At 42.3% G+C, this 19,460-nt stretch overlaps 1 protein-coding gene across 1 annotated transcript in view; it reads left to right on the top strand.

The window, feature by feature from the left end:
• The window catches only part of SORCS3 (sortilin related VPS10 domain containing receptor 3), a 623,953-nt gene that overhangs the window by 260,610 nt on the left and 343,883 nt on the right, over window positions 1–19,460 (top strand). The window contains exon 3 of the mRNA NM_014978.3: window positions 13,934–14,033. Coding sequence (NP_055793.1) covers window positions 13,934–14,033 — 100 coding nt within the window. The remainder of the gene's footprint in view (window positions 1–13,933; window positions 14,034–19,460) is intronic.

The following is a 19,460-nucleotide window of genomic DNA, read 5'->3' on the forward strand; positions in this document are numbered from 1 at the left end:
TTTTTGCAGGACCTCAGTGGCCTCTCAGTGGTGACAGATCTGCATCTTTGGAGCATAGATCTGCATTTTGGAAGGAGCCAGAAGCCATTTGGAGCTTGATCAGATGCATAGAATGTTGGGGATGGCAGGGACTTTTGAGATCATTGATTCCAACCATCTCATTTTACAGAGAAAGAGAGTAATCAAACTGTGAAGCATTGTTTTTGGTTGGAAACAAAGAGTGTCTGTAACAACAAGACTAGAAACCCAATCAACCATAACTCATGGGGCTTGCTGAATGCTTAAGTGTGAGCCACTGAAGATGGCTGATAGGACCATGTTGCTGCCAGTCCTGATGATTGTTAACTGGCTGAGATACATTCTGTTTCTGACTGGGACTCTGGCTCCTGTCAGCACCTTCACTTGCCCAGTTGAGCACTCCCTTTACCCAGGGGAGCACCCATCTCTGGAAAAGTGCTGAATTCCAGTGACTCTGAGAGGTCATGGACTTGAGGAATGTTTGTGTATGTTGAGGGGAGTGGGCTGTGAGGGACAGGGTCCTTGAGCCAAGGCCCTTGCAGGCTTTTGCATGGATTGACCATGAAAATTGCTGTCTTCTCTTTCCAGTTATACTTTTTTCCTTGGCTTCTGCAACCTTCTTGTTCCAAAGACTCCAGAACCAGTTATCTGAGATAAAATATGTTTTTCTGTTCAATAGTCAGATCACTCAGATGATAGGAAGTGGCTGTCTTCATCTTGTGAAGTCATTGTTATTTTCCAGAGGAGAAACAGGGAATGGTGGTAAGACAGTTGTAGGAAGGAATGAAAGCCTGTCAAGAAACTAAGCTGATTCTTGCCCTGTGCTTTATGTAGGTTTTCTCACTGAATCCTCCTAATAACACTGCTTGATGGCAACTATTATGCCCATGTTAGATATGGGGAAACTGAGGCCTGGAAAGGTTAGGCAGTGTTTTTGGTGTTGTGTTGCTAGTAGGTAGGAGAGCAGGAATTCTAACCTAATTTTGACTCCAAGCATTCTCCTTTTTATACTTGTATAGCTTTCCAATAGGAAATGACCATGGAGACCCCCTGAGCAGGTGAATCAGTGAAACCCTTGCCATGTGATACTTTGTGAAGCAGATGCTCAATTACCATTGTTTAAATAAATGGCCGGGCATTGAAGTAGAGTGCATAGAACTTGGAATCATATGACCTGGGTTCAAGTTCCAGGATTGTCATTTGGTCAGTCACTTAACGTCTCCGAGTCTGTTTCCTCATTTTTATGACAGAGATAAAATATCTATGTCAGAGGGTCATAGTGAGGATTCAGTGAACTGCTTTAAGAGAAAGTGTTTTGTATAAAGCACTATGCAAATGTTAGTTACTTAATGCCACAGTGATTTAGGGTGACAGTCTTCCGAGAAATTAATTACAGAGTCTAAGTGTCTGCCAGAGTCTTGATCCTTGACCTCAAGAAGCTTATAGTTGTGGTGAGGACAAGAGACTATGGAAATCAGAGGGGACAGGGCAAATTGTGCTGTAGATATATAAAAACAATAGAAAACCAGAGAAAGGAAAGATAACAGAAGAGCACGGTAGATGAGAGGGCTTTACACAGGAGCCTGGAGTTGAACTGTAAAGGTTTGAAGTGAGAGGAGATTCGCGACTGGGCATAGATTTAACAATAATAAAAAAAGGCATGTTGTAAGTTACAGTCCTCTTGGGACCCAGGAGTTGTTTTGCATAGAGCAGCAGTTCTCAAAGTATGACTCAGTGACCCCTGGTAGCCTCCATGACTCTCTTCAGAGGATGGATAGAGTCAAAACTATTCTCTAATAATAATAAAATGTTATCTGCTTTTTAAACTCTTATTTTCTTATGAGTGTACAGTGGAGTTTACTAGAGGCTACCTGGCATATTTGATATTATCACAGATTGAATGTAGAAACAGATACAAGAATCCATATATCTTCTATTAAACCAGATATTAAAGAGCTTTGAAAGAAAAATTTGAAAAGTAAAAGAATGCTAATTTTGTCATGAAATTGTTTTGTTTTGGAAACTATAGTTTTTTAAATAAAATTATGTTATTTATATTAACATGTAACAGGGTTATTGTTATTTTAAAATGAGTCAATATTGTAAATTTTTCTCAGATGTAATTTCTGTTGTAATATGTATTGCTAGATATAACACACTTGAATTAAATATCTTGGGGTCCTTAGTAACTTTTAAAAGTATAAAGGAGTCCTGAGTCATAAAAGTTTGAGAACCAACCACTGTTAAAGACATTCTGGTATGGAGATACAGTAAAGGTCTCAGATTTTTATCACACTTTGGCGTCAATGTGTATGTCCTTTGGTATCTTAGAACATCTATGTACAGGAATTTCAAGATGATAATGCCCAATGTTGCAAGCATGCAGTGAAACTGGTACTTTTATACATTGTTAATAGAAGTGCAGACTGGCCAGAGTATGTCTGTAAGGCACTTTATAGCAAGAGCTTTAATGATAATTTTTATCCTTTGAACTAGTAATTACACTTACATGAATCTATTCTAGGGAAACAAATAATGATACATACAAATATTTATGTCTGACAACACACATTCAAGTTATTTAATACAAGATTTTGGCTAGAAACTGACCAACTGGCCAGAGAAGATAGTTAAAGTAAATTATGATGCATTCATACACTGGAATGTTGTAAGGCTTTAAAATAAAATGATATTTTTGAAAAATATGTAACAATATGTGGAAATGCTTACAATATTATGTTAAATGGAAAATCAGGACCCAAATTCTATAAATAATGACCCCAAATTTTGTAAACACACAAGAGTTAAAGAAAAACACACCAAAATGTTAACTGAGTTTTTCTATATGATGTGGCTATCTTGTGCGTTATTATTTTTTTTTTAATTTAAGGGTATTTCTACCATAAATTTTCAGTATTTTTTTTTTAAAAGACTCTAGGGTGTGACATTCCTTTTATCCAAGGCTGTGGTAACCAGTCTACTGAGCCAGCCCATGTCATGTGGGTTCAGGCGCACACTGCCTCAGATCTTGAAAGGGACACTTCTCTAAGAGTCACTGTGATAGTTTAAGGCATATTCTATGACTTGACAATACATCCGACTTCTAGCTAATTGCTTTTTCCTGCTTAGCCATTCAAAAGAAAGCTTAGAAAATACTGAGATTGTTTTTCATGCCCTACTACTCGGGTCTGTTGTCAAGAACAGTCAGTGTAGAATGTAGGATCCAATAGGCAATTGTTTTAAATGATGTGCATGTAACACAGCACAGAGAGCAGAGCAATCACTCCATAATTTTTACAAAGGAAGAGATAAATGAAGTTTTAGGTTTCTGGACCCAAAACGAGATGAAGTTACTATAGTGTTAGAGGCTCAAAAAGGAGAGCTGTAATTCACTCCTTGGAAACTGGGAATTTCCTCTTCTTCTTGCCTGTGTTGGAAAACACCATGTGTTGGAAGACTTTAGCCCTCTTTCTATTCTGGATGGCCAGTAGGACAACTGGTAAAACTGGTCCAGCACAAAGGAGCATCTGCTTTGCTATTAGTTTCTCACAGCAGAACAGTTTCAGTCAGAAGGGAATCTGTCTGAATGTGACTATTTCAGTCCCTGGGACATATTTTCTCAGTTTGAGGATTTACCCTGCATGGCATTATTCAGCATGATTTAGGGGTTAAAAGAGACGTCCAAGGTAGTCCCTTGACTTCAAAGACCTTATTCTGTCTGGAGAAAGAAGTGTCATGCACACAAAGTTAAATAATGGCATAAAACAACAGCAGAAAAGAGAAAAAGATGTGGTCCCAGAAAGCCGATACGATGCTCTCTGAGAGTGACAAAGATGCTGAGCACTGGGAAAGCAGAGGCAGGTGAGATGAGAGGCTCCGTCGGGGAGGATGGCGGCAGAAGGAGACACTCTCTTCTCTCCCGGGCTGAAGACTCTGGGAGGGGAGGTATTTGCATTAATTGAAAAGTGATTAATGAAAGCATTGAGTGCCTTCCATGTGCAAGGCATTGTGCTTATTACAGAAAAGGAAAATATTTAAAGATGAGTGGGACACAGAATTTAGTTTCTTGAGGGTAGGAAGGTGGTCTGAAGGCTCTCTATTTATTCATGTTCCTTCATTGGGCGGCTGCACATTTTATCCTGGAGGTTTCTGGATGTGCCCAAACAGACATAATTGTGCACATGTCACAGGGCCCCGACTGGCTCTATGTAATTTTAAAGAGAAATGATAAACATATTTATTTTTTAGACAGTGATGCCTTGCTAAAACTGTCCAGCACCTGCTAGTGTAGGCCTCATTATTTTTTTCCCCAGGAAAACTTAGTGGAAAAGTTGGGTTCGTTTTCCCTGGACTTTAATTTGTTAAGTGTTGGCCACCTGCTGGAGGCTATCTTTGATTACATGTAGCAGGCCCCCCATCCTCCCATGTGTCTTTTGGTAGCTTACTGCTGATATGGTGGGAATGAGATGGCGTTAGCCTGTCCACTGGGGGTTATGTAGCTATAACACAGCTGCTGTTTGCCCAGAAATGTGTGAGGCAGTTTCTCCTTCTGTGATAATATTATTGGTCTACCTTGGTGTTGCCCAACAACAGACAGTGAAGTGAACCCTCTGATAGTAGGGCTATATAAGCTTCACAAAAGCCCTAAGAACACAACATTTAGATTCCCATTGAGCAGACATGAAACATGAGTTTATATAATTAGTCTGAGGCTCCACAGACTGGATTTGAATCCAAATCTCCTTGACTCTGAAATGAATCCTCTTGTGATTCTTTTGGTCTGCCTTTTTGAACGCAGAAGCTTATCTGTAACTGGGTTCTCCTACAGATGTGTTAATTTGTTGATTAACATTGTGACTGTTTGGTAACAATCACTTTATTGCTATAATTTTTAACTACATGAGTCATACTTGGATACACTTTTGTTTGAAAACATCTCAACATTACAAGTAAATTCAAGTGCTTCTAGCTACCTAACCCCAGCCCACCCCGGTTCCCTACCCAGTGGTAACTTCTATTAGTAGTTTTATATATTTTCCACTAGATTTTATATGTATTTGTTTACACGCTTATAAACTTAATGGAAATGTATTGCCTTGTTGTGTCTGGATATACTGTGTGTGTGTAATATATTTAGTATTATGTCTTAGAGACTTTTCAGGTCAATAACTCTGGTATCTGTCTTACTCTTGAATGCTGCTGTATAGTACTGTGTGTGTGTGTGTGTGTGTGTGTGTAATACACTCTATTTAGCCTTTCCCTGATAATTGTTATTCAGTTATGTTCATATCAACAGAGATGCAGTGAATTATGGGCTGTCATACCTTCTCATGGGCCTGTTTGTGCACTTTCTTTTCCCTGGAGGGCTTCTTTCCTTCCCTTACGTGCATGATACAAATAGGTCTTTTGCCTGATAGGTTAGAGTTTTTGGCATTTTAAAACCTAAATATAACAACTCACCATCCTATTTTCTGAACTGAAGGTCTTCAGTGAGAACTAATGTGTTCACACCAAATAAAGAAAGGAAAAGAAAGAAACTGAAGATCTGAATATTGGCCCAACCCCATATACTTCAGCCTCTGTCCTACCTGAGACGTGTGCTGGGAAGCTGCTGCTGGTGGGTCTACAACTTATCTGATCCGAACCATGAATTCTGCATGACTGGTCTCCAAAGACAGCAAACCTCCAATTTTCCGCATTTAGAACCGGTGATGGCTCTCATTCAAATAGTGGGGGCAGGAGGAAATAGAGACGAATTAATTATCCTGTATCATTGTGCCTCTCTTTGTGAGACTAAACAATGCAGCCATGAGTTGGGTAAAAAGAGGTCAGGGAGAGCTGTGTAAGCTTCTGCACTGGCATCAACCTTCCTGTGGAGTTTCTGAAGCAGAGGGTGGGGCAATACCCACTTGGAGAATGAAGCTGTTTAAATGACTTACTTTTGGCTTGAGGTCTGAAATTAGTTATCTGGATGGTTATTTGTGGTCAGGCTGGGCTTCTGCCATTGCAAAGATACAGATTAATGTGACTTTGGGCACTGGCCCTAAAATGAGGAGTGGAATAGGCCAGAGGGAAACATTAATGCTTTTCCATCACAACTCTCTGAGAAGTCTTTGGTCTGGAGCTGTGCTGTGGGAACTCCTGACGCTGACCTTGGAATGGGCTGTGGTTCACCACACACCAGAGCACCTAATAGCCTATGGTCTTTGATTGTTGACAATCCTCAGTGTATCTCAGTGGAGTACACCTGAAGGAGCTGCTAGTGGGTGCTCCCCAAGGCCTGGCACTTGGAAGCATAGTTGTATCTTTTGATTCTCCAGGCAACTGGGTCTTATCATACACTTATGGTGACAATTGGAAACAGTGTCCACAGATCCTTTAATGATTTATTGGGTATCCGTGTGCCTCACCCCTATTAAGTGTAAGTAGTGCAAATCAAGAAAAAGAAAACAAGGTGATTTCCCTTGAGGACAATACAATCAGGGGTATTCATAAAAATGACAGCCATAAGCATTTATGGAACAAGGGCTTTTAGCAGATGCTAAGCTAGGTATCTTATTACTCTTCATTGAATCTGAATAACAACAACTCTATTGTCTGAGCTGAGGTTCAGAGACATGAAAAGCTTGCACAGCTAGATCTGGCTCTGAGTCTAGTTGTCTTTGTACTACTCCAGTCTGCTTGTTTTCTTTATGTAGAACTGTGCTCTGCACTTTCAGAAATTAAAAAAAAAATTCATTTGTGACTGTTCTTTTGAGAAGCTTTTAGCAATTGCTGAAAATATCAAAAGCACACATGTATATTCAGAGAATAAATAGGGAGCTCTTAGGTGCAATTGGTGTAAATGCAGAGGAGGGCGTGGGTGGGAATTATAGGAAAGATCTTTGTAGTACAATGAGTACTGGAGCTGGGAGTAAAAAAGGAGACAATCTGAACATTGGAGGCAATGGTAAAGCAAAGCAGGTAAACTACGAAGGCCTTGAATGCCAGACAGAGGCAGATGTTTGACCTGATGTGGCAGCCAGGCAGGGAAGGATGCTCTAGGGTATCAGAGATCCAGGCAGAAATCTTGAGAAGTTGTCTTAGAGACAAAAGCAGGGTGAGAACATGACTCGGGGGTGGGACAGAGGTGGAGGCTGATATTCTCTACCTCTAGCTGATACCAGCTAGAGCAGCACCACCAAATCATACCCCTCCTGCTTTTGCAAAAGCACCCTTTCATTTTGCTATTGTGCTTGGCTTGTTTGGAGCTGCAAAAGGTCAGAGTTGAGTAGTTGTGGCGGAGGTCCACAAAACCCAAAATATTTACTATCTGGTTGTTTTACAGGAAAAAAAAGTTTGCCAACCTGAGCTAGAGCTACTTTAAATGGCCGGAAAGGGGAAGCAAAGCACAGTGTGCCTAGCCCATGTCAGATGCCGTGGTTGATAAATATATGCAAAGGAATGAGCCAAACATGGCAACGCAGAAGTTGCTGAGAGGAAAGGAACAACCACAACTGTGGTTGTTTGCCAATTTTAGATTGTTTGCCAGTTTTAGATTGTATCCCTCAGAAGGCAGGCCACTGAGGAGATGACTTCTGACTGGTGAAAGATGCCAGGGTTAATGATCCTTAATTTTGCAGAGCTCAGGGGCAAGAAGAGGAGAAGAAATGAGGAGAGGACTGAGGACCAGGGTGGTAAACACCAGAAGAAGGTGCTGACTGGATAAGGAAAGCCATGTGCTCACCCAGATTGAGAACATCAGATGGCCCCGTGAGAGCTGGCAGAGTGTCTATCTCTGGCCAGAATGGGGCATTAGGACAGGGAGGTTGAGCTGCAGTTCAGCTCTACTGAGAGGCTGACTTGGCTGCATCGACTGGATGTCTTTTCTGTTTTTTTTTTTTTCTTTTAAAATAGCCCATATTCTTATTGCCACCAGCCTCTCCCCGAGAAGATCACTAGAGGAGTAGTGAACTTGCTGGGTAGGTAAAAAGCATACGATAACTCACACCTCCACTCCTGACTGAAATTGTCAGTGGGAAAGTGGCCCTGTGGGAATGACCAAGTGTATGGCAGGTCAGACTGGGGGTTCCTCCCACAATGTACCAGTCCGCACTAAGTCCTTCGGAATGCCTCTGGATGAGACAAGAACTCAGTGAACAGTTTCAGGACTCAGACTAGGAGTTGATGCCATAGAATAGTCCCAAGCACCTCTACGAAGTTGAAGAGGGAGGATGTCCAGTCTGCCAGTCAGCATCAGGTACCTGGAGAGTAGCGTGAGTGACAGGTAGCTGGCAGGACCTGCCAGATGATGAGCAGGTGCCTGAGCAGGCGGTGAAACCAAGGAGCAGTGTCTCTTTGGAGGTACAGTCTCCTTGGAGAAGATGTTGTAAATAGCCAGTGAAGTAGAAGTTATGCCCTGAGGTGACCCACACAGAGACGTCACCCCAGAAAAACTTTTCTTCACAAATACACAAGAAGCCACGCATAAGAATGTTTGTTGTAACATTGTTTATAATAGCAAATTAAAAAAAATACTTCTCAGTGGTTTGAAAGGATAAGCAGTGGTTTATTCATAAGCTGAAACACTAGATAGCAGTTAAAGTGAATGAATGACCACTAGGTATGTAACACGGATACATCTCACAAGCCGAATGTTGGGTGAAATAAGCAAGCTGCTGAACATATATCCTATGTGAGAACACTTATGTACATGTAGAAACACTCAAAAAGGTTATGTGTTGTTTATGCACACAAACACTTGTTAAATCTAATAGTGGCCAAATGATGGGCATTGCATTGTGTTTTTCTGTGTGCTGGAAATAATAAGAAAAAAAGAACAAGGGATAGAGACACACATGTGTGTGCACACACACGTGACAGTGGAGTGGGGTTGGGGTAACTGGAGCCAGGGTACAGGAGCCAGAGCCCCGTGGCTACACTGACCTCATGCGCCACCTTCCAGGTTAGTTGTGTGCACTGAACAATTCAGAATGGTAACTGGCAGAGTGCCAGGCCCATGCCTGGCTCAGGGCACTGGTGTCATGGCTCCAGTGTTCTGAACATTTCAGTCTTATGAACCTAGTGTCAGGATTTGGGAGGCTAGCTTTAAAATTGATGAGATGAGCCTGTTTTCTCTAAGTGACCCCACTGGCTGATGTCTGGAATCACAAAGTAGAGAGGATGGTTTGCTTTCTTGTAAGAGCAAGTTCTGCCAGCATAAATGTCTCTGGCAATGGGGCTGAGACCTCTCTACCATTTGCCCCTCACCCCAGGCCAAGTGGGCCCACAGAATGCTGTGGTCAGGGCAGTGTGCAGTGGCCATCCTGGAAAGGACAGAGTCGAGGGCACTGTTGGTTCCATAGGCTCCCAGGCTCCCTGAGGTATCTTCATCAAATAGGACTTGTTCCTCTGAGACCAAATGAGCAGAACCTGCCAGAGGCATGGAGGAGACTGAGACATAGAGGGTGTCCTTTGTTGGGCAGTCCCTCTTTTCAGCAGCCACTTTTGGAAAATAGCAAAGTCAGTGTTAATCTGTCATGCAGCTTGTGAAAGTGAGACCATGTGTGATGATCAGCGTACTATCTTTTGTGAGAGTTATTTGGATTCGGGAAGGAAGTTTGTTGTGACTTCCATCAGTCCTGCAGGGATCCCTGAGAATTTAGCTCTTCTAAGACTTTTGCTATAGATAGTATGAGAAAAAGATGATAGTTGGAAAACAACTTAGCATTGTGTTGGTGGTTTAATAAAATTTAAGATCCCATAAGGGACCTTAGGATTATGTAAGTAAACCTCTTGTGTTAATGATGGAATGGAGCTTGACAAAGATGCTTTCCTTAACCAAACTTGAGTTAGGATCCTCTGAGCTCTTTTTTTAACTAGGCTCCCCTGCTTGGGCATGTTCTCAAGAGTCCAATTTTTTAACAAGAATCCTTCTAAGTCATGTTAGCCAGAATCTCCCAGCCTCTGTTGCTAATGAAAGTCCTCATCCTCCACTATAATCTAGATAATATCTGATCACCCTGGCCTGCATTCAGCAAGAAACTTGTTAGATTAGTAACAAAGAATTACCCTCCCCTGTTAGCAATTTTTCATCCACTGACCTCTCCTCTGCCTCTGATAAAAAATTCCCACTTTTCCTTTTTCTATTTGGAGTTGAGCCCTGTCTTTCCCCTACTGCAAAATCCCATTGCAGTAGTCTCTCTACATATTGCAGTAGTCCTGAATAAAGTTTACTTAATCATTTTAACCAGTGTCAGAATAATTTTTTAACAGCCTTCTAAAAGTGGCTTGTGCAGGGTAACACGTTGAGTGCATTTGAAAATCAGCTCTACAGTCTCGACTTCTAGGCTCCAGCTTCAATGTTCTTTCTCCACACCATGCTGCCTTAATGCCTTCAAGAGTGTAGAATTAAGAAGTAATTAACTCTGTAAAATATTTTACTTGGATTAATAAAAATGCAAATGACAGCCTCTAGAGATCATGGTCTATCTCCAGTCTTGCACTGCCTAGGATAGTTGCTCAGGGTGATTTGTCATTTAACCGTAATTCTACTACAAGTGAATTACAGACCCTTCCCTAGGACAGACCTTGCTAGACTGTACCGTCTGCACTGTTGTGCTAGCATCCAAAGCCTCAAGCGTGTTTTCTAGGCATTGTTTGCTGTGTGTTGAATTACCACTAGACATCAGTAGTTGGTTAAAAACTTGTGAGTAGGTTTGGACAATCTCATTCATCCATTCATTCTTACAAATAAAGACAAATTAAAACAATACAAAAACTATTACTTTCAGCAGTTGCTTTGTACCAGGCATGGTGCAAGACACTGGAGCTGTTAAAAACATGGTTCTAGTCTTCAAGGAGTTACAGCCAAGGAAGAGATCCCAGAATAAGGACAGTGTAGCCAAACCAATAGGATAAATGCTTAAATAGAAATGCGTACAAGATAGTACGGGACCACAGAGGAGATTGTGATTAATCCCCCCCGGGAAAGCTGGAAAAGGGTGATGTTGGAATTAGATGTTGAGGGTTGGAGGAAAATTTGCCAAGTAGAGGAAACAGGGATGGATAGTTCGGACAAGGAGATGATGCGTACAGCAGCGGAGGGCAGTGAGAATGTAGGACATGCTCAGGAAAGTTTAGCGAGGCTGGAGAGAAAGGGCCAGAGGAGCAAGTGGCTGGGAATGGGTCCAGAAAGGGACGTTGAAGCCAGATTTTACAAGACTTAAGCTTGGAAGATTCAGCTTGACTGTGTGCATTGGGCAATTACTACCAAGGAGTGAGGTGGACAGATCTGGGGTAGAAAAATAGCCTGGTAACAGCATGGAGGATGAATGGGGGAGGGAGAAGACTGGAAGAAGAGCATCAAATTGGGGGATCGTTGAAACATGATGATGTATGAGCCACAGCATTGGTGTGATGATGGAAAGGATACCAGGGGTCTAAGTTTTTTAGGAAATAGCATTATTAAGACTTGAAGAGTGATCTGCGTTGTAGAAAGGCAAGGAGAAAGATTGGGAGTGATTCCCAGAGCTTCTGTGCCTGCAGTAGACAAGAGTCAGAGAATAAGTCAGCTTTTGGGGGATTGATGATTAAAGTTAGCATAACTCATGACCATGTGGAGCCAGTAGCCTAGGGAGGGGTTTGAAATATTGATATTTGTTTATTCAGTAAACGTGAAACGTGCTGAGTGTGCATAATGTGTAAAACTTTGTGCTGTACATTTTGGAGAAAGGAGAAATGAATGAATGCCTCTTCACTTTTGTTTATTTTTTAACATTTTAGTATACCTGCATTCTGTTAGGAGGTTTCCCATGTCTTATATTTTTGTAACCTCACAAATGCCTCATGAGACTAAATTATCCCCATTCTTTTTTTTTTTTTTTTTTTTTTCCGAGACGGAGTCTCACTGTCACTCAGGCTGGAGTACAGTGGTGCGATCTCAGCTCACTGCAACCTCTGCCTCCTGGGTTCAAGCAATTCTTCTGCCTTAGCCTCCCAGAGCTGGGACTACAGGTGTGTGCCACCATGCCCAGCTAATTTTTATATTTTTAGTAGAGACGGGGTTTCACCATCTTGGCCAGGCTGGTCTCAAACTCCTGACCTCAGGTGATCCACCCACCTCGGCCTCCCAAAGTGCTGGGATTACAGGCGTGCGTCACCACACCCGGAATCTTCATCCCTCAGATAAGGAACCTGAGGCTCCAGTGGTGCAAATAACTTGCACATGGTCATGCAACCAGAGAGCTATGGATGTAGAATGAAACAGAGATTTTGCTACACCCAAAATTCATGTTCTTTCCTCTTATGAAGGGAGTTTTGTGATGTTCTTTAATTCTTTGAGGAGCCTACATTGTGCTTGGGGAAACAGAGCATAGAGAAATCAATCATGACACTATTGAAGAGTTAGAGAAGAGGCATGTACAGTGTGCCTTGGGTGCCTAAGGATGGGGAAATCTGTTCTGGTGCAGAAAAGAGAGGAGCGGTGATTGGGAGGAGGGCTAGAGAAGCTTTTACAGAGGAGGTGCAGGTGGGTGTTTACACTGGGCCCAGGGACCAGGAATCTGCCAGCTTGGATGAGGGTGGGGGTGACTGTTAAGGGTCATCACATTGGGAAGGAGGCTGAGGTGGGAGGATGGCTTAAGCCCAGGAATTTGAGGCACAAGCCATCGGGCTGATGTGATGCTATGATTGTGCCACTACACTCCATCCAGGCTAGGCAACAGAGTGAGCACCTGTCTCTTAAAAAAAAGACAAAGGTTATATAGTTTTAAGTACTAAGCTTCTGAAGCTGAGCTGTTGGCCAGGGAAGCACTGATTAGCATTAGAAGGTGGATAAAGGCTCAAAGCAAAGGCTGGGGGTGGTGGTTACTAGGGCATCAAATGCCAGTTCAAAGCAAGGCTCAGAGCCAGAGTTGGGAACTGAGATTGTGGCGGATTTCAGGCCCCTATAAGGTCAGTTGAGTACAGAGAAAATGCATTGACCTCTGTGCTCTTCTAAAGCTTGAGTTGGAGAAGTTTTGTAAGTCTAGCCAAGGACAGTGATGACGGGAAGAGGAGGTGAGAACTGATGATACAGGTGGTGGAAAAAGGGAGGGAGGTCTCTGTGGGCCAGGGTTTGGGGACAGGTGAACAGTATGGCAGGGAGGTCAACTACTTGAATCCCACTGTTTGGCACCCTCTCTCCCTCCTCCACCATGGAAGGCAGGATGGAAAGAAAGGAGCCTCTACTTCTGGTTTTGGCATAGGTCAGTGTGCTGGAAAGGAGGAGCAGGTAGCCAGCAGGATCATTGGAGTGATGAACCCCTCCTCTGTAAGCAGCCCAGTGCCATAGGCTTTTCACCCTGGACACACCCACATCGTTGTCCCTGTGTAAAGCATCCAACCCTCTGCCTGGTGTGGTCTCATTTAGCCATTGGACCCCATAAGTTTTCTGGGCACTTCCTACCCCTCCAAGGGTCCCTTGCTTCAGGCTCAATGGAGTGGGTTGAAGTTGGTTGTACCCTGGTGATGACCTCAGGAGACAGCTGGCCATGCTCCCATGGCCTCCACACACAACTCCCGTATAGAGGGTCCGCTGGTGGGAACTTGTGTGCTTCCACAACTCCACACAGAGCTGGGGTGGGGGGGTGGGGCGGGGCTGAGCAGCATGAGAGTCAGGCCGTCTCCAGCAGCTCCTTTCACCAAACAACTTCACAAAGGGCGAAAAAGTAGGTCCTGAGAAAGGCTGGAAGCAAAGGGGAGCACGCTTAGGTAGTAAGCAGGTGCATTAGTCTAATTGCTCTTCTAAAATTAATGGGGCTTTTTATCTCTGAAGCACTCATATGATTCGGGAAGAAAGGTGCTGGTCGGTCGAGGGAGAACCTGGCTTCCCTTTAGACATAGCTGCCCATTGGTAAAATGATCTCTCCCTCTCTGTTTTCTCTTTTACCTGCAGGTCGACAGATTATGGCACCACCTATGAAAAGCTGAATGACAAAGTGGGTTTGAAGACTGTCCTCAGTTACCTCTATGTCAATCCAACCAACAAAAGGAAGGTAAGAGACTGGGTCAGTAGGTCCTGAGCACTCCTGCTGGGTAGCTGTGCTGATTAGGGCCAGAGGTTAAGGAAAAAACTCAGTTGTCATTGAATCATTTACAGAGGTCTGGTTTATATGCTGGGAACTTCATAAACGCTGTTTGTAATTCTAACAACAAGCTTGATAGTAATAATAATAATAGTGACAGCAGCAGTGATAGTAATGCCACCAGTAAAACTATGTACCTATGTCTTATCTCAGTTATCGTTACAATGAATCTATGGGATAGAAACTATTATGGTCCCCATTTTGCAAGAGAAGCTCAGAGAGATGAAGTAACTTTCTACCCTGAATCAGATGGTGGTAAGTAACAGATCTAGAATGTAAGCATGGGTTTGCTCAGCTTCAGAGTTGAGTCTTTCCACAGCCTTCCTCTTGCTGGTACATTTTTTGAGAACCCCTTACTCCAAGGGAGATTGTTTCTCCCACGTGAAGGAAAGAAAGGCAGCTCCTGGCTTCTTCAACTTGATCCTGAGCTGCTTCTGAGGCAGAGGGCAGACCAGACTCCTCTGGCACCTCTGCTTCTCTGCTTTCCTCTTGATTTAGCAGCCAGGATGAAATCATATAAGGTCAGACCTTGGCCATGGAAATCTACTGAGAGGAGGAGGCCTGGATTCTGTGGAACAATGGGCAGTTTTAGAAAACAAATACTGCACCATGTATTATCTTTGGGGAGATGTGCTCTTTCTCCAGCTAAGAAAGCACTGCTATTTAGAAACGTAGGCAGACATGATTCAAATACATGCACCAAAATGACCATATTAAAGGTCATTTTAATATTTCTAAAAGGCTAAAAAAAAATGGCACCACCAAGCTCTCCTCTTGCAATCTGATTTGCATTCCCCCGTGGTTTTGCCAGTGCTTTCTTCCTCAAGGTAAGCTCAGGAGCAAGCTTCAAACCATTGTGCGGATGTCTCTGATTTCTAACATGGTAGAGTCCAAACTGTGGCTGATAATTATGACTGTTTATGCTGCTCAGAGCAGAGCAGCTTTTACCTGAGCCACTAGCAGAATAATGTGCATCCATAGACTTTCTCCTCACCTCCACCTCTAGTGCCCCTAAGTACACCCAGCAAAGGGAGGGAGCAGAATTGTTGACTTATGGTTCAGCATTGGTGATAGATAGCCAAAGGATCCAGTTAGCTCTAGGGACTCTCAGGCCCTAGACTGTGCCCACTAGCCAAGTGCCAAAGCTTTGATCATCAGGCTGGCTGTTTAGGCACCTGTTATTGATTTTATTTGAGTAGTTTCTTTTTTCTTTGTCCCAAAGCATTGCCATTTTCACATCTTTCAGTATCATTATTTAAATTATTGGATTTTAGAGCTAGAAGAAAGCACAGATTTCACCTAGACAAGTGGTTATTAATAGTTTCTTTTAATTTGTTTATTTTAAAATTAACATATAACATTGTATGTGTTTATATTGTACAACATACTGTTTTGAAGTACATATGCATTGTGGAATGGTTAAATCTAGCTAATTAACAAATGCAGTAACTCACAGTTACTTTGTGGTGATAATACTTAATATCTACTCTTATCATTTTTCAAGAAAATAATATATTGCCATTAACTATAGTCATCATGCTCTACAATAGATATCTTGAACTTATTCCTCCTATATAACTGTAATTATGTATTTTTTGACCAATGTCTCCCAAACATGCCTCCCCTTTAACCATTCGACCCCTGTTAACCACCATTCTATTATCTAATTCTGAGATTAACTCTTTTAGATTCCACATATGCGTGAGATCAAATGGTATTTGTCTGTCTGTGTCTGGCTTATTTAACTTAGCATAATGTCTTCAGGTTCATCCATGTTGTCACAAAAGACAAGATTTCCTTTTTTATGGATGAATGGTATTTTATTGTGTCTACGTACCACATTTTCTTCATTCATCCATTGATAGACACTTAGGTTGATCTTATATCATGGCTGTTGTGAGTAGTGCTGCAATAAACATGAGAGTGCAGAAATCTCTTGGACATACTGGTTTCATTTTCTTTGGATATATACCCAGTAGTCGAATTGCTTGTTCATATGGTAGCTCTATTTTTAATTTTTGAGGAACTCCATACTGTTTTCTATAATAGCCATACTAATTTACATTCCCACCAACAGTGTGCCTAACAGTTTTTGGACTGCAAGTCTTTTACACATGTGATTAAAGTTCTAGGTGGCCTCTCTAGAAATATGCCTATGCCACAAAAATTTTCATACATTTTGAGGACTTCGTGGACACCTCAGATCCCACTCATGAACCCAAGATATCCATGGAGTCTCGGTTAGAAATCATTTTTCCATGCCAACAACATTTTACAGATGAGAAAATTGAAGCAAAAAAAACTCACATAGCCAGATAGAAAAAGGAGCCAGGATTAGAACCCAGGACTCTTGATTGTCAGGCCAGATGTATTTGCATCAGCTCATCTTTTGCAGCTTTTCTTCTTGTACAGTGATAGCGTAGGGGTTCAAAATTGCTTTATGATCTTGAATTAAAGCTTGGTGCCATGTCCTTGATGGGCACATGATTAAAGTTGACTGAATCAAGCCAGCAGTGATGGTTTTCAGTTCTTCTCCTGCCCTTCTCCCTTCTTGAGAAGGAAGCAGAGGCCCACAGAGGACAACTGCCCCACCCAGCCAACTCAACAGGTTAGGAGCAGCCTTGTCAGTTGGTCTGATGACTCCTAATTTAGTGCTCCTCCCATCCCACACAAGTGCCTTGAGCATACTGGATCTCAGTGGGCATATGCACTTTGGGCGAAGCAAGAACTGGATATTTGGTGCATGAAAAGTGCCCTACAGCGCTGATCTCTGTCTTGTATCTGGGCCACAACAGAATTAATCGTATTTTCATGTAGATGATTGATAGGCCACTTTTGTGAGGATTTTCCTAAGTGGCTCGTGAAGGTTTGTACCTGTTTGTATCTGTTTTGGAATTCATCTGTCATGTATGTTTCCTCTTCGAAAATATCATAATGATGTTTCTTTTTGTCTTTTGCTGTTTTTTTCTACTCCTGACAGTCTGAACTCTCCTTAGTGCAACTAAGAAGTTCTTAGAAGTGATAGAGACAAGGGATGGATTAAGGCAGATTCTGTGGGTTGGAAGGAACGTAGAGTTGAGATTTGGCTCTCACTGGCACGGGGATACCACCTCCATTTATCCTTCCTCATGGTGACATTCAGGCAGTGGGCTCTCAGGAGCCATTTCTCACAGAAACTAGTGCTCAATAAACAGAAGTTAGGCCTATTTTGTTGTCTGGTCTGAGAAACATCACCAAAGTGTAGTTAACTCCCATCTGGGAGGCACTGCCACCCAGAAAGTTAAACATACAGACATTTTCTTCACTCAGATTGGGGAAAAATAAGCAACAGGCCAATGGCATGGATTTTTTTTTTTTAGAAAATAGCAATAGAAATTAACGTTTGTAGCCAGGCACAGTGGCTCATGCCTGTAATCCCAGCACTTTGGGAGACTGAGGTGGGCAGATCACCTGAGGTCGGGAGTTCGAGACCAGCCTGACCAACATGGAGAAACCCTGTCTCTGCTAAAAATACAAAATTAGCCAGGCGTGGTGGTACATGCCGTAATCCCAGCTACTCAGGAGGCTGAGGCAGGAGAATCGCTTGAACCCAGGAGGTGGAGGTTGCGGTGAGCAGAGGTCACACCATTGCACTCCAGCCTGGGCAACAAGAGTGAAACTCCGTCTGAAGAAAAAAAAAAGAAATTAATGTTCATAAGGGTCCTACATGATCTAAAGTGCTTTCCTCATCATCCAAGAAAAAATGAAATTGGATTCATTTTCATTTTACTAAGTGGTATGTATTGTAATCTGAGCCTCTTGATGTTGACAGTGCACACGTAGTCTACATTCTAACTTTCTCGTAACCAGTATATTCAGCTTAGCAGAAATCCCCCTTCTCCAGCCACTTAGGCAAAAAGAAAATTTGATATAAATAAAAATACTCTTATTTGTTCCTTTATTAGTCTAGAGCTCTGGAACCATGTAACACAACTTCGTTTTTAAGTTTCCTTCTTTACGTCTTCAAGTTTAAACTTATGGTAATATGGATACTCATCTCAGCTTGTGTTAGGCAAGATGGTTTAGATTTGGTTAGTACCCAAATTATCTGTAGCAACCCATTTCATCAGTCAGCCAATGGCAGTAGTCTCTCGTGGATTTTTGAGTTCATCTTGTAGAAGCACTTGCTTTTCACCTAATGAGTTATTTATTTAACAGATGGCTGCTGCTTTCCTTGGAGGCTATGAATACATCAAATGAGATCTGTTGCCCCTGGCAAAACAGTAAATTGAGTTTGTATTCATGTAGTTGCTCCCAAAGCTAATTGTTGATTTTTTAAACAATTTTGAACAACATAAAATTATCCAAATACTGATAGTTAATTAACCATTAAGTTGGAAGGAAGCAGAGGTGTTAACCTGTGTATAGTTTCCTTCTACCAGTAATCATCCCAGGTAGCACTAACTGAGCAGCTACTATCCTAAACTCCCTTTTAAGAGTTTTATCCACATGATCTCTAATCCTCCCAGCCACTTTGAAAGTAGGCAGGGTAAGAAAATAGACTTTGATAAATTACCCCAAGACTATATTGCTATAAATGGTAGATCTACAGCAGCTTTCCCAATGGGTTTATTTTGAGGACAAATTAGTCATTCAGCAATTCTGGGCTTCCTGGAGGTAGCTGAGATTTAGACTGGGAGTACTGTCTTTATCACAGGCTGTGAGCAGGGTATAATCATTTCATCTAGCGGGTTTTATAATTCCCTGTCTAAATGAGAGTATTGATATGAAATGCACGAAGCTGCTTCAGTCAAAGTTGTCCTAGACTGCTGTTCTGTGGCATGGTGGCATCAGCATTATTTTAATGACCTTGACCCACTCTGACTATTTGATGTGAATTTTGTATACCCGGTTGTTTGCCTTTCTCCAGCCATTGGCCAATTAACTCATTGCCCAGGTTTGAGCCCAACTTCCTTATGGGAGCCCAGAATTGCTGAATGTGTCTGGTTGGTACTTGAAGATGAGGAATAGTATATTAGCTCTGGAAGCAAGAGAGTGTATGGTTTGCCTCCCAGAGGAGTGGCTCCATTATGGTGGGGCTAGTAAGCTCTAGCTCACAGCTTCTCCTTCCCCTTGCATGAGATAAACATCCCTGGGTTCCCAGAACTCATTACTGTCAGTTGTTTCTTGTCCTCAGGCCCATGCAGAATGGCAAGTGCCAAGGTCAAGTCTGCTGTGCTTTGTAAAAACAGGCTGAAGGCTTTGTGCCTTAACTAGAGAGGAGCCTGACTCCCATGGGCGAGCTTATTTGAGAATGAATCTTTGAGTGGACAGAGAAATGCAGGCATGTTATTGTCT

The sequence above is a fragment of the Homo sapiens genome, chromosome 10, assembly GCF_000001405.40.
Source record: "Homo sapiens chromosome 10, GRCh38.p14 Primary Assembly".
Lineage (NCBI taxonomy): Eukaryota > Metazoa > Chordata > Mammalia > Primates > Hominidae > Homo > Homo sapiens.